The 15,967-nt window shown below is 36.2% G+C and overlaps 1 protein-coding gene and 1 long non-coding RNA gene across 4 annotated transcripts in view; one reads left to right on the forward strand and one right to left on the reverse strand.

Moving 5' to 3' along the window:
* Nucleotides 1-15,967, reverse strand: part of STARD13 (StAR related lipid transfer domain containing 13) — a 573,658-nt gene that overhangs the window by 458,487 nt on the left and 99,204 nt on the right. The window lies entirely within an intron of this gene.
* LOC102723406 (uncharacterized) overlaps nt 1-15,967 on the forward strand; it is a 57,046-nt gene that overhangs the window by 6,891 nt on the left and 34,188 nt on the right. The window contains exons 2-3 of one of the 2 annotated variants that reach the window (XR_007063750.1): nt 6,577-6,662; nt 9,039-9,220. This is a non-coding gene — a long non-coding RNA (uncharacterized LOC102723406). The remainder of the gene's footprint in view (nt 1-6,576; nt 6,663-9,038; nt 9,221-15,967) is intronic. The other variant, XR_001749811.2, reaches the window with a different exon arrangement.

Raw genomic sequence — 15,967 nt, forward strand, 5'->3', positions numbered from 1 at the left:
ACCATGAACAGCCGTGAATAACTTCAGTCTACTCTTCATTTTAAATCTTCCTAAATTAATTGCTTTGTAAAGGTATTGCTAATCCCTTGCAATCCAGAGATATAAAAAATATTATACTCTAACACTTAGTACAGCACAGAGATAATTTACAGCATTAGTCAAACAGTTCCAAAGATGTCATCATTTATAATGACCCCACCCTAGGGCCATTATTTTACTACATAATATGATTAATGTGCTGTCATTTCTTTCTGCTTAAACTGTAGCCGAAAGTAAAAAGTAACACATTTTGGCCTTCAGTTTTCTTAGCCTGAAAGAACTGGTTATTTTTTTAAAAATTTAGCAGCTTATTTCACTTCAGGTTTTTCAAAATATTCATATCTGAGATAACATCTCCATTGCTGAGGATAGTGAATGAGTTATATTCTTGAATGTTACTTGGTTGATTCTGAACATCATTTAAATGCCCCCTTTTTCATATGAGATATAGATCCAGTGTAAATATTGTTTGAATGTATCTGGTGTGGTAATATTTGAAGATATGGGATCAAAATTTACAAGATCCAAAGTCAAATCTTCACATTTATTTTAGCTATTTACTGCCTTTAAAAAAACTAGAAAAGTTTATTTCTATCATCCATAATTTTCTTTATGGCCGTGTCCTCAAAGGACTTAACTTCTGTTGATTCTCCAATCTGGCTGCCTACATCTTTTTACCTATATGACTTTCCTCACATTTTTCTCTTTGCCTAGAATAACTTCCATTCCCCCATGTTCAATGTCTATCTAACACTTAAGCTCAGGTCATATGACACTTCCTTCAGGAAACCTTCCTGGACTCCCCCACAAACAATAATAAGTCTGTTTCTCATCTGAAATTATATGGTAATTTATATATATATTTTTAACTGTGCATATTTTCTAAATAGGTTCAAATAAATAATGTACATACCACTAAATATTCTAAAGTCTAGGGGTCCTGTCTTATTCATCTTCATATGCCCTAGAGTACCAAGTAGGTCCTCAATCTATGTTTGTCAAATAAATAATGTATATAGAAAAACGGTGGTCATTTTGGGGGAAAAGAACGATCTTACCTAAATTGGTTGATTAAAAACATTTTTACAAATATGCTATATAAAGTGTTAAAATATCAATAATTAAAAGCAAAATTATATATATTACAGACAACTTCCTAGCATTAGTTGAGGGGGAAAAAGAAAACAGCCAAACAACCAAAGAAACCCTTGCCACCAATGTAAAATTATGTTTAGCATAAGCTGTTGGAGGATCTAAGAATGAATGTAGTAAGATATTGCTAAGGTAATTTTTATTAAGGTTTGATTTTTAAAAATTAGATTTGTTGCTTTTGGCCACAAATGATATAAGTTACCTAGGAATCAATTGAATCAAAGATGTGAAAGATCTCTACAGGGAAAACTATAAAACACTGATGAACGAAATTGAAGAGGGCACAAAAAAATGAAAAGATATTCCATGCTTATGAATTTGAAGAATTAATATTGTTATGACAAGCAGCTCACAGATCCAATTCAATCCCTATCAAAATACCAGTGATATTCTTCACAGAAATAGAAAAAAAATCATAAAATGTATATGGAACCACCAAAGACCCCATATAGCCAAAGCAATTCTGAGCAAAAGAACAATGCTGGAGGCAACCCACTACCTTGACTTCAAAATAGACTATAAAGCTATAGTAACCAAATCAGCATGGTAGTGGTATAAAAACAGATACATAGACCAATGGAACAGAATAGAGGACCCAGATATAAATCCACGCATTTAGAGCCAACTCATTTTCAACAAAAGCACCAAAATATGCAATGGGGAAAGGACAGTCTCTTCAGTAAATTGTGCTGGGAAAACTGGATAACCATACACAAAATAATGAAACTAGACCCCATCTTTCACCATATACCAATATCAAATAAAAATGTATAAAAGACTCAAATATAAGCCTGATGCTATGAAACTCCTGAAAGAAAACTTTGGGGAAATGCTTCAGGACATTGGTCTGGGCAAAACATTTTTGTATGAGACATGAAAAGCACAGGCAACAAAAGCAAAAGTAGGCAAATGGAATTACATCCAGCCTAAAAGCTTTTGCACAGCAAAGGAAAGAATCAAAGTGAAGAGACAACCTACAGAATGAGAGAAAATATTTGTAAACTATCCATCAACAAGGGATAAGTAACTAGAATATATAAGGAGCTCAAACAACTTAGTAGCACACACACGAAAAATCTGATTTAAAAAGGGCACGGCTGGGCACTGTGGCTCATGCCTATAATCCCGGCACTTTGGGAGGCCGAGGCAGGCAGATCACCTGAGATCAGGAGTTTAATACCAGCCTGGCCAACATGGTGAAACCCCGTCTCTACAAAAATACAAAAATTAGCCGGGTGTGGTGGTGTGCACCTGTAATCCCAGCTACTTGGGAGGCTGAGGCAGAAGAATCACTTGAACCCGGGAATTGCTTGAACCTGGGAGGCAGAGGTTGTGGTGAGCAGAGACCGTGCCATTGCACTCCAGCCTGGCAACAGACTGCGACTGTATCTCAAAAAAAAAAAAAAAAAAAAAGAAAAGATCTGAACAGACATGTATCAAAATAAGATATGCAAATGGCCAATAGGTATATTTTAAAATGCTCAACATCGCTAATATCAGAGAAATACTAATCAAAAACAAGGAGATATCATGTTATCCCAGTTTAGATGGTTTTATCAAAAAGACAACGAAAAATGGATGCTGGCGAGGTATGGAGAAAGGGGAACCATATATGTACTCTTGGTGGGAATGTAAATTAGTAGAGTCACTATGAAAGGACTATGGAGGTTTATCCAAAAGCTAAAAATAGAACTACCATATGTAGTTTCACTACTGGATGTGTAGCCAAAAGAAAAATCAACTTATTAAAGAGATATCTACACTCCATGTTTACTCCAGCACTAGTCACAACTGCCAAAATATGGAATCAACCTGAGTGTCCATCAGTGAATGAATGGATAAAGAAAATGTATACCTACAAATGGAACATTATTCAGCCTTAGAAAGAATGAAATCCAGGTGGGCGCGGTGGCTCACGCCTGTAATCCCAGCCCTTTGGGAGGCTGAGGTGGGCGGATCATGAGGTCAGGAGATCGAGACCATCCTGGCTAACACGGTGAAACCCTGTCTCTACTAAAAATACAAAAAATTAGCCGGGCATGGTGGCACACGCCTATGGTCCCAGCTACTCGGGAGGCTGAGGCAGGAGAATGGCTTGAACCTGGGAGGTGGAGGTTGCAGTGAGCCGAGGTCACGCCACTGCAGTCCAGTCTGGGTAACAGAGACTCTGTCTCAAAAAAAAAAAAAAAAGAAAAAAAGAAAAAAAAATCCTGTCATTTTCAGCACCATGGCTGGAACCAGAAGTCGTTATGTTTAGTGAAATTAGCACAAAAAGTGAAATGGGCACAAAATTTAGTGAAATGGGCACAAAAAGATGACTATTGCAGGTTCTCACTTATATATGGGAGCTTAAAAAAACGTGGATTTCATGAAGATAGAGAGTGATTGGAGCTTACCAGAGGCCAGGAAGTGTAGAGGGAAGGGGGGAAATGAAGATTGATTGATTAATGGGCACAAATATCAGTACAGTGACTACAGTTAATATTAATCAATTGTACATTTCTAAAGAGCTAGGAGAGAACAATTTGAATGTTTCTAGAGTAAAGAAAAGACAAATATTTAAGGTGATAAATAATTACCCAAATTTGATATGAATATATCAAATTATCACATACACTGCAAAAACATGTACAACTATGTGTTAATAAAATATAAATCAATTTAAAAAGAAAAAATATGTATTTTGATAAAATGTGTAATATATTTGGCAACTTTAAATAGAGGGCTACACTGGTAAACCTGAAGGAAAGCAAATTTACCATGGATTTTGTGACCTTTCCATACCATTTTGATGGATAATTTGGGCCTTCTAATCCATAAGTTGAGAGAAGAACATCAATTACCTGTAGGCTCATACAGATCACTCACCTTGCCCAGGACGCTGCCTCCAAACAGGTAAGAAACATATATCACAGAAGGGCATGATTACTGGCATTAACATCAGCCAATGGCCAGGAACTTGATCCAACATATCCTGGCTATTCTCTTCCTACTCTAATGAACACCTTCCTACTTATTCATCCTTCAAGGTTGAAATCAATGTCACCTTCTTTGGAAAGCTTTCCCAAGCCTAATTAATTACTTTCTCCTTTATGCTTTTAAAGCACTTCTACCTATATCTGTAAAATAACTTAATCCAGTAGCTTTCCCCTTATCTGTAGTTTCACTTTCCACAGTTTCAGTTACCTGTGGTCAGTCATTGTTCAAAAATATTAAATGAGGAATTCCAGAAATAAACAATTCATAAGTGTTAAGTGCTATCTTATGATGCCTGTGACATTCACCTCACTTCATCTCATTACATCAGCATTTTATCTTCTCCAATCATCACAAGGAAAAGGGTGAGTACAGTACAATAAAATATTTGGAGAGAGGCCACATTCACATAGTATGCAGGATTGTTATAATTATTCTGTTTTATTATTAGTTACTGTTGGTTATCTCTTACTCTGCCTAATTTGTAAATTAAACTTTATCATAGGTATGTACATATAGGAAGAAAACATAGTATATTTAGGGGTTGGTACTATCTGCGGTTTCAGGCATCCACTGGGGGTCTTGGAATGTATGCCCCATTGATAAGAAGGAACTGCTTTATTTATATCTCTGCATGATCTCTAACTGCCTGAGACTCAGAGACAAAGTCTAGTTTTCTGTACAAGTCTACCTTCTAGCATAGTTTTTGGCACTTGTGACTTTTCCCTTTCATTATAATCATAGTACTTCATCTTATGGTACACATATTCTCTCATCTTTTAAAGTTTTTCTAATTTTCATTTCTGTGAAACCTGCAAAGAAGTGTAAAAGATCACATGATCAAGGACACAGTGAATAGACAGCCAGCTTCCCATGCCTCTTGAAATCTTTTAGAGAGAAGTGAGAAATTTGGTAAGTCAGAGAAACCTAGATTCCCAGTCGCAAGTCTTTTATAGAATTAGGCAGTATGGGGATCACTGCTCTCAGGTGCAGGCTATTACTATGTGATCCTTGCTGTGTCTAAATTCCATCCTTCCATAGTCAGTTTCCTATTTCATCTAGCTTACAGCAGGCCTACCATCACTTACTATATTACATAGGTTCTAGCATGCATACCAAATACTTGTATTTTGGCTTCAGTTTTCACTTCTTTCCAGTTGTCTAATTTGATGGTTCAGTAATTTCTTACTCCTCTACACCTTAAACAAGTCACAGCATGCCCTTCTAATATTCCCATAGTGCAATTCCTATGCTTTACCCAACTCATCAGCCTTTCTCCAAAGCTTTGTTGAAGCTTCACTTGGTCCTGGTTTAAATATGTATTGCTGAAGCAGAATGCTTTGACCCTACTAGGTACTCACACTCACTCAAATACCCTTTGCTCCAATAAATAAATAGGCCCAACTTTTTTGTCTCAAATTCATAACAAATATTCTGATAGAAATAACAAACAAGAAAATAAAACTTACAATGGCTGAATTTTACCTGGAGAGGACAGTAAAGAATCATGACGTCTTTGTGAAAACAACAGTGGCCCAGGGAAAATCAGATCTTAGTAAAAGTAATGAACACAAAATAGAACTTACACCAACTAAAACAGTAACAAGGTGTCATTTGTTGTGGAACACAAATTGACAGAAGAATCAAAGCTTGGTACTATTTAGATCATGTACAGTGAAATTTCATATAATTAATGGCCAAACGTACACATTTATAATGGTAGAATTGTAGTTGATAATTCTTGTCTATAATTGATAAAACTTGATATGGGCAAAAAGTTTTCCATGAATCAAACCCCTATTTAATTTACAGAAAAATGATAGCATTGGAGCATTTTAGAAAGATAAAAATGAAGGTGAACAAAAAGTGAAAATGGTTCAAGTGCATTGAATAGACAATTCATCTAGTAGTTAAATTCATTTAATGAAATTCACTCTGGAATATACCTTTTCCACAAAAATTCATCTATGTCAGTATACTTATTGAAACACTTGTAATTTTAAGCATGGGGTCAAAACATCTCCATGTCAAAATAGCTGGATCAAAATGCTGTTTGCCCATTTCATGCCAGAAGTTCCTCCATTATAACCACTGATGCTTCCCTTAGAAGTCTGTATGTAAATGATTTGGGACTTCACTGGGCCATATGTCACCATTAATAACAGAAAGTGTTTGTGGGTTTGCTTTTCTTCTTTAGAAAATGAAGAGATTGTTTTTATGGATAATGGTATTTAGGGATTTTTTTTTCTATTGTTTAAATTAATAGTCAATATATTTTAAAGGATTAGGTGTTGGGGAGGAAATAACAGGAAAATTAAGTTTACTCTGCCAAACAGGCATTATCCCTGAGAAGTAGTTCCTTCTTATTCTGCACTATAAATCCTTTTATCACCATGTATATTTCTACAGGGGCTACTGCTATCTTGCTTTGGTAGTTACAGTAAATCAAGATAAAGACACCAGTCTGCTTGGACTTGTGGAGAGGTAGCAAACAGGTATGGAAGACCTGGAATCGACTTCAGAAATGCTCACGATGCTTGGGTACCCTGATGTGGTACTACCTAGCCTACTTGGGTCAAATGACTTTTGCAAAATTCTATAAGATACTTAGCATTCTCCTGTGGCAATTATTTGTTAACAAAATGCTGGAAGGAAGAGCTCTAAAGATTTTCTTAAATATATCTGTCCCAGGGATATCAAATGTTTAGGAGAAATAGTGTAGTAACAGAGGTAAGCTATCAATTTAATTTCACTTGACATCTAATCTAGTTGTGTTACCATGATGTTCCCTGACTACGTAGGGCTTCTGCCTGCCATTGGACACTAAATAATTAAGAATTAGTTTCTTGGGTTGTTGATTATATCAGAAAGTCCCAGGTTATAAACGGGATTAAACAGTGAACACACTAAAGGTATAAAGTTATTTATTCAGTATATTTATAAGGCCTCAACATAATTTATAGAATTTACATTTAGCTATGTATTTATCCAAGAGAGATTTGTTAAGCTACATTTCAGAAAGATTTACTAACTATATGTGTACATCAAATTCAAAGTAGGCTTATACATTTGAGCTTTATATTGGACAGAATTATTCTAATGACATAGTAAGCTAGACAATTGAGTTCTCCTATAGAAAACTTATACTTTTTTAAACTACCAATAACCATTACCCTATTAAAAATGGCTTCACAAATATGACAGTACAGGAGAAGACTCATAGGAGAACTTCTCAGTGGGTAGACTGGCCATTCTGATCTGAGTGCAAATAACACCAAGGCAGAGTTTACTTAAGCTTATGTCTATAAAATTTAAGTGTTGAAGTGGGAAGATATTAATTTATATGCATGGCCTGTTAAATGGCTAGTTTAGAGCTATCAAATAATCTTGTATATGATGTTATACTATGTTATTCTTTGTGAAAAGGTAATAAGGACAGTGTAAATTTCAGGGCTACTTCCTACTCATACCTTGTTGATAAAAATGTAGATTGGTTGAATACTTCGAAGAGCAGTTTGGCAATATTGAATATGAGCTGTAAAAATACATAACCATTGTAACATGAAGACCTTATGTAAATTAACAAGAAAAACTCATCTGCAGTAAGCCTTATCGAACCCCTTGCCTGGGCTAAATGCTCTATTCCAAATAAATAAATAAATAGTTTGTAATTAGAGGAGGGTTTTTATGTTCAATTGTGAGATCAATCTTTAAGAAATTTTAAGGATTTAATAGTCTTATATAATTAGAGCTTGAAGTTAAAGGGAAAAGATGTTAAATGAGGTGAAAGTGAGCAGAAAGAAATCTTCTGCATATAGAGGTAACATCTCAATCAGAAGAAAGAAGGTTAAAAAAAGACCCGCATCAGTTAGGAAGTGGTAATTACACTAATATTTCATTATTAACTTCAATCGTAATTGATTGACTTTTTTGACTTACTGTTGTGATGAAATGGCAACAGAGTAGATTATTAACTTTCAGACAGAAATATTAATTTTCCCTTTGATCAATAGCTTAAGATAGAGATAAAATAAAATGAATAAGGAGAATTATGCTTGTTCGTGTTAAAAATTTACTAACCAGCAAAGGCATGAGAATGATATAATGGACTTTGGGGACTTGGGGAGAAGGGTGGGAGCGGGATGAGGGATAAAAGACCACATATTGGGTACAGTGTACACTGCTTGGGTGACAGGTGCACTAAAATCTCAGAAATCACCACTAAAGAACTTATTATCCACGTAACCAAAGACCATCTGTACCACAAAAACTAATGAAATACAAAAAAAATTTATGAGCCAAAGGGAAATATCAGTGTGTGGCTATATTCTAAGTACATCCAGTTTAAAGTAATGAATATCGTTTCTCATCTGACCCATTTAAAGCTGGGCTTCCATGTGCCACTGTGTATCAATAAAGGCATCTATGAAAGAGCACGGGGGAGGAAGTCAGAATCTCTAAAAACTAGCTACTCATTCTCATGTACAAGTTAGATTATTTGGGGATTTGATTTTTCTATCCATTGTGTAGTCATACCATTTATGTTTTAGATATTAATAAGCAAAACTTTGGACATACCAGGACACTCATAGATGATTTAAACTTTGTAATTTATGTTACCCATTTGACCCCCATTCAAAGACTCACTAATGAACTTTTAACCCTTAACTTTTCTTGGCAAGAGCATTATATTTAAACTGGAAATGCATAGAAATCATCATTGGAACATTTATAAGGATCATTCCTACTGTAATTCGCTAACAACTCACTACTAGGTGGATTGCTTTTTGTTCAGTTTTGCTCTTTTCTGGTTTACTTCCAACCTGTTTACTGAGACTGTCTTGGTAATGCAAATCTTTCTTCTTTGTTAGTCCACAGACAGTTTGCTCATTTCGGAAGAAAGCTCCTGACTGAGGTTCTTTAGATGCGTTTAACGGAGGGACAGCTGTGCAGAAGCATCACTGTCTCACTCTTTTCCAGACTGATCAAATGAAGCGTCTGTCATGTCACACATATGGAGTTCTCTACCAACAGCAAAGGCTATTTAGTCAAGGTTAGAAACAAATATTGTGTTGGATTTTTGCTTATGATATGTTTTGGATTTTTCTTTGAAGCTCTGATTTGAAAGATATACAGAAAGATATGGCTTGAGGGAGGAAATATGAATATTATCCTCAACTACTCCCATGTTCATACCATCCTGAGAGTTGGAGGCATCATGCTGCACCTTGGGTATCCTTGAGGAGAAATCCTTTGGTAAAGACTCTAGTCCTATGGATTGGCAGAAATTCCCAGTCTGGTGTCTGACAGCTCCTCCTGTGCACGTTTTGAATTTACTGGGCATGTGTCAGACTCCTGAGGGGAAGACATCTCCTGCTCTCCAAAGAACTGAGATTCCATCACAACGGATTTCAATTGTTCGAGAATAACAAGTAGAATTACCTTTATTTTAAGTTGGCTTGGCAATTATAATTCATGTTGTGCCCTATCACAATTATCAAAGTGAGGAACTCCTCACAAAGTAAACAAAGGTCTTTCAATCCATAAAATTAGTATCTCAATTCAACTTATTTTGAGTTTATTTATTTTGCTTTTGAGAACAAAATGTCTAGTGTGTAGATAGTTAAAAATTAAATGCAGTAGCTATTTATAATGCCTGCATTTTTCTGCATACCTTATGCTATATATTAGTTACATAACTCAAATACTCAAGTCTAAGAGTCAGAGTGTTGGAAGGGACTTGGTCTGTACTTCTGAGTCTTCTGAGCCAGCAAGGCCACACTCTTTCCCCATCATTGCCTTGCCAGCAGTTATTCTATATCCTATATTCAAGTTCATCAGATAAAGAAACTTGAACAGTTTCTAATGAAGGAGAGCAGGCTCAATATCCTGTCCCGCTTTCTAAGAGGTGAGTGTGCTATGCAGGGTCCAGGGATGAGATGTAGCCTGCTTTGTACCAGATGCCTGTCAGTCACAGAAATAACTGCTTGCTGTTTGACTATATGTATAACTGGATGCTATGAAGTGGAGAATATTTAAGAGGACCTGAAACCATGTCTCTTCTGGGACTTAAGAGTGTGTGGGCTTCTGAGAGCAGAGGAGGTACCAAGAAAACCCCACTGCAAGGATAGCTGTGAAAGAAAATAACCAGGGAATTTGCTAGGCCAATGTCCTCAGGACCTTAAGTTAGCAGTGTGTGGGAAACAACAAAGCCTGGTAAATATTAATTAAATTGCACACCAGAAACAGAGATAAAGAACTATATATTTGCTTCAATAAGCAAGCACCTGCAAGATTTCTTGTTTTCTGCCTGCATAGTAGCATCCTAATCGTCAACCATCAACTGTCCCTAGTCTCCCTTTCCAGGTACCAGAATTTCTTACTTATAATGCGTTAAATCAAGTTTAGCCTAAAGTTGCCTCCTTACATATTTTTGAGTTCAACCTAAACTTTTCTCTGTACATTGTGAATTATAACAAGTGGAGGTGTAAACAGACTGTAGCCTACACTTGTGCCAGTCACTGAGTTTTGGCCAATCAAATGTAGCCAACTGTTCGAACCATGTTCAAATAAGGCAAACACCAAGATGTAACCAATCCAGCTGTTTCTGTACCTCACTTTCATTTTCTGTATGTCACTTTCCTTTTTCTGTCCATAAATCTTCTTCCACCACGTGGCTGTGCTGGAGTCTCTGAGCCTACTCTGGCTTGAAGGCTGCCCAATCCATGACTTGTTCATTACTCAAACTCTTTTAATTTGTTTGAAGTGTTTCTTATATCAAATGCAACTTACATTTTCAAATGGCATTGGAATACAAACTATTTTTTCAAATATCTTTTATACTATGTTCTAAATGCAGCCAGCCCTCTGTATCCAAGGGGTTCCACCTCCATGGATTCAACCAACCATAAAAATGTTCAGAGAAATCATTCCACAAAGTTACAAAAAGCAAAAACGGAACTGGATACACATCAAGTATTATGTTTAATCCACAAGAATTAAGTGATGTATAGGCATTATATTAGGTATCATAAATAACCTGGAGATGTTTTAAAGTATATGGAAGGATGCACATAGGTTGAATGAAAATACTAGGCCAATTAATATAAGGGACTTGAGTATTTTGTATCTGTAGGGGATCCTGAAACCAGTTCCCCTCAGATATCAAGGGACAACTTTAATGCACAAGATGACCCAGGATATATGTCTTATTTCTACTTTATTATAACAATTAAGAAATCATGGCTTGGTGGCCTCTGATCTCTTTCACAAGTTAAAATGTGATCCTTCAGGGCTCTACATGAAAGGTGATGGTGATGTGGGTTCCTTCCCTAATTACAGGAACAGTCTAGACTACGGTAGCCCCAGACAACTACGGAGATGTCTAGATAATGCATTTACCTAAGAAAACATCTCAGCTCATACACTATAAACATTAAAATTATAAATTATAATTGATATCTATATAGAAAAAAGTGTTACTGTTTGGATTCACATAAAAATTAGAAGTCCATGGAAAACATGTGCTCTAGTTAAGTATCTGATATCGTACATACCAACCTATCTATTTAAAGATCTTAAAAGTATGAGGCCCATGCACCATTGTATTGATGCTGTATATATGCAAAATATGAAAGTATTTATTCCATTATAAACTATGTAACAATATTATTAAAGTCTCCATAAGGCTAGGGATCCTGGTGGACTAGACAGATAACACAAATTACATGGCTCAAAAGCTTACACTTGGGTGTACAAAAACACCTAGTTTTCCTGAAAATCCACTGCACATTTCTGAAACAATCAGACTATATTATGGTGACAGATATTAAGGTTCTGTTGGTACATGTTTTAAAGTAAATAGGTATTCAGGCAGAGAATGTTCCAGGGAGTATAAGCAGAAAATCTATAAATCATCTCATAATAATGTTAAATTTTATAAAGAAATCAATTATTTCTTCCCTTGTTCAATTGGGGAAACTGGATTCAAGAAGTATCTAGATTCATAGGACCGTCTCGCTGGGTGTTACCTTTATCTTACCACCAGTATCCTGTGACCCTGTCTTCAGGCATTTAATTCCCAGAACAAATTGTGTACACTGGTGAACATGAACAAAAGTTTTACAGGTATTTTTATAATATATTCAAAAATAACACATAAAACTGTGATTTCAGAGTTACTAGCTAAAGATAAAATTAAAAAGAAAGCTTGAAGCTTGTCCTTAAAAAAATGAACAATAGTATAGATGATACAGGAGTGTGACAAAAATCATGATCCTTGCCTAAAAACATGACAGGAGTTTGGAAAGCAATGGAAGAGAGGCATACAGGGGCGCTGAGTGTGAGGAGCTGCGGATGTGTCTTGCTTCAGTGTATGCTGCAGAAATCTATAATTAGTGTGAAGCACTGTCAGAGTACATCTTCAGTAGTAAATGTTATTCTTCCTAAACTGCCATCAAGTTTGTTATATTGATGTGGAATATAAAAATCGACAAACTTTTTAACACATGAGAGAACACAGTAAGTGAAAGTATGGATCATCTCACTGGGAGGATTTTGGAGATTTAGACATCAGTTAGACCATTTCTAGTATTTATCAGATTATAGATACTTTCAAATTAGATTGACTAAAAAAAGTTTTCCACACTGTATTTAGAGATATCAGAAAATAGGTCAGGCTCATGCCTGTAATCCTAACACTTTGGGAGGCCCAGGTGGGAGGATTACTTGAGCCCAGGAGTTCGAGACCAGCCTGCGGTACATACTGGGACCCTGTCTTTACAAAAACATAAATAAATAAAATTAGCCAGGTGTGGTGACAGGCTCCTGTAGTCCCAGCTACTTGGGAGCCTGAGGAGGGAGAATCACTACAGTCTGGGATGTCGAGGCTGCAGTGAGCCATGATCATGCCACTACACTCTAGTCTGGGTAACAGAGCAAGATCCTATCTTGGAAAAAAAAGAAATATGGGAAAATAAATGAAAAAGAGACAAAATATAGTTGAAATGTGTTCCCCAACTTGCTTGAATTGTTTACTTACTAGGGATGCAGACTTAAATAGCATAATTTGTTGTTATACTCTCAACCTAAAATCAGTTTCACAGTGATGTTATATGCATCTACTTTTTTTTTTTTTTTTTTTTTTGAGACAGAGTCTCACTCTTTTGCCCAGCTGGAGTGCAGAGGTGCAATCTTAGCTCACTGCAACCTCTGCCTCTCAGGTTCAAGTGATTCTCCTGCCCCAGCCTCCTGAGGAGCTGGGATTACAGGCACATGTCACCATACCTGGCTAATTTTTGTATTTTTAGTAGAGATGGGGGTTTCACCATTTTGGTCAGACTGGTCTCCAACTCCTGACCTCGTAACCTGCCTGCCTCAGCCTCCCAAAATGCTGGGATTACAGGCTTGAACCACTGCGCCCGGCCATACCTACGTATTTTAAATATATTCGTATATGCCTCTAATATGTAAAAATGAACCCCAAAGATCCTGATATAATTTATCTAAAATATAATTGTCTAAAATATAATTTGGACAAATTATTTTACCATATAAATGACTTCATCAATTTTCAGATATCCTGCCCACATTGGCCAAATTCTACATTTTGTGGGGAAAGGGAAAAGAAGAAATAGACATAGAGATGGCCAAGTGCTATGGTTTGGATATGGTTGTTTTCACCAAAACTCATGTTGAAACTTGATTTCTGCTGTGGTGATGTTGGGAGGTGGGGCCTATGGGAGGTGTTTAGGTTGTATGGTCAGATCCCCCATGAATGGCTTGCTGCTGTCATTGCAGTAGTGAATGAGTTCTCACTCTTGTGAGACTGGATTAGTTCTTAGGGGAATAGATGAGTTTCCTTGAGAGTGAGTTGTTGTAAAGCCAGGACGCCACTCAGGTTTCCTCTTCTTTGCTCCTGTGTGCTTCCCCTTTGGTCTCTGTGGCACCACACAAAAGCCCTCAAGATAAACCAGGGCTATGCCATTGAACTCAGCCTGCAGAACTGTGAGCTAAATAAGCCTCTTTTTATTTATAAATTACCCAGTCTGAGGTATTTTTGCTATAGCAACCCAAAACAGACTAATGTACAAGAAATTTGCAAAGCCCCTCTCCCTCTATGCCAGACACTTGCCTAATAATGTTCAGGAATTATATGTAATGTATACAAGCTGCAGTAAAAACAAAAAAAATCTATATGGGACTCTTTAACTGCAAAGACCTTGAGATGACACATCTTTTTCAATGTATTTTGATTTTACTACAACAACTAGCTCAGAGGGAGCTTTATAGGGAGCAATATTACTCATTAACTCTTTGTTGAATGAATTAATGAACTAGTGAGTGGATTAATAAAATTAGGCCAGTTAAGGGAACACACTGTTTCTACGCCAGTTGGCTATTTTGGGTTTAAATATTTTTAAAATTACTGTTGGTTCTGCTCTTTTTTTTTGAAACAAGGTCTTGCTCTGTCACCCAGGCTGCAGTGCAGTCGCTCCATCATAACTCACTGCAGCCTTGAACTCCTGGGCTCAAGCAGTTCTTCTGCCTCAGACTCCCAAGTAGCTGGGACTACAGGAGTGTGCCACCATGCCCAGCTAGTTGTAATTTTTCTTTTTTTTTTTTAATAGAGACAAGGTCTTGCTACATTGCCCAGGCTGGTCTCAAACTTCTGGGCTCAAGCAATCTTCCTGTCTCAGCCTCCCAAAGTGTTGGGATTACAGGCATGAGCCACCATGCCCAGCTTAACGCTTCTCTCTTGAAGGCTGAGAACTAATAAATTAATCTGCCTTTGATTGGCTAATTTTCTCAATAAGAAAAACAAAAAACCACATATCAGTCATCCACATGCCCATCTCAGTAATTTATTCCCCAAATATTATTCTTCTCAGTTACAAAATTTGAGAGGAAACTTAGTTTTTTCACCAAAGATAGGTGGGATAAAAATAATATAGTGTGAGGGATTTCAATTAGACATATTACAATATTTAATTAGACATTTTAAAACCATATAATAAGGTATGTTCATAGTAACAAACCTTAATACAGTTTGATAAAATTTTGTAAAATCCTCTTCCCTGGAAGTCATTATAAAGGCATTCTTAGTGATTTTAATAACTTAATGCTTTAGTTTCCGGTTTAAAGCCACCAGCTGTCTAATGACAGCCGAATGCACTGATCTTTAAAAAACTCCCTTAAAGTTTTATGATTCAATAAACACAAGACCTAGCATTTATTTAGGATTTCACGTTTCACAAAAGCCCTTTTAAAAACATTTTTATCATTTAATCATTACCACAATCCTAATTAGTATGCCTAATTATGTCCATGTCTTTACTGCAGAAACTTATTCTTGATTGAGTGATTTTCATAATGTACTACAGATTTGTGCAGCACAGACCTTGGATTCAAACTAAACTTAGTCACATCCAATTACATCATGTTTTATCGTGTTGCTGATAATCATGATGGCAACCACCTCTACTCTACAGAGAAATAAGTTCACTTTAAGACAGGCTTTCACTGTTTAACAGGTTTTCCCTCAGCTATAAATAGCATAGTATAAAATTCCATTCTTTCACATTGTTGCACTTAAAAGATCAAGTCTTATCTGGTATTAAAAAGGGAAAGGATCTGCCTTTTCCTGTATGTAAATTTTATCTGAATGAAAAGATTAACAGAATTATTAATAACCAATAATGCTATGAGGTAAAAGCTACTCAGTAATAGGAGTTATTGCTAACAAAATGAACTCTGGAATAGAGAATCCAGAAATAGACCCACACATATATAGTCAACTGAT

Source organism: Homo sapiens, chromosome 13 (assembly GCF_000001405.40).
Source record: "Homo sapiens chromosome 13, GRCh38.p14 Primary Assembly".
NCBI classification, from domain to species: domain Eukaryota; kingdom Metazoa; phylum Chordata; class Mammalia; order Primates; family Hominidae; genus Homo; species Homo sapiens.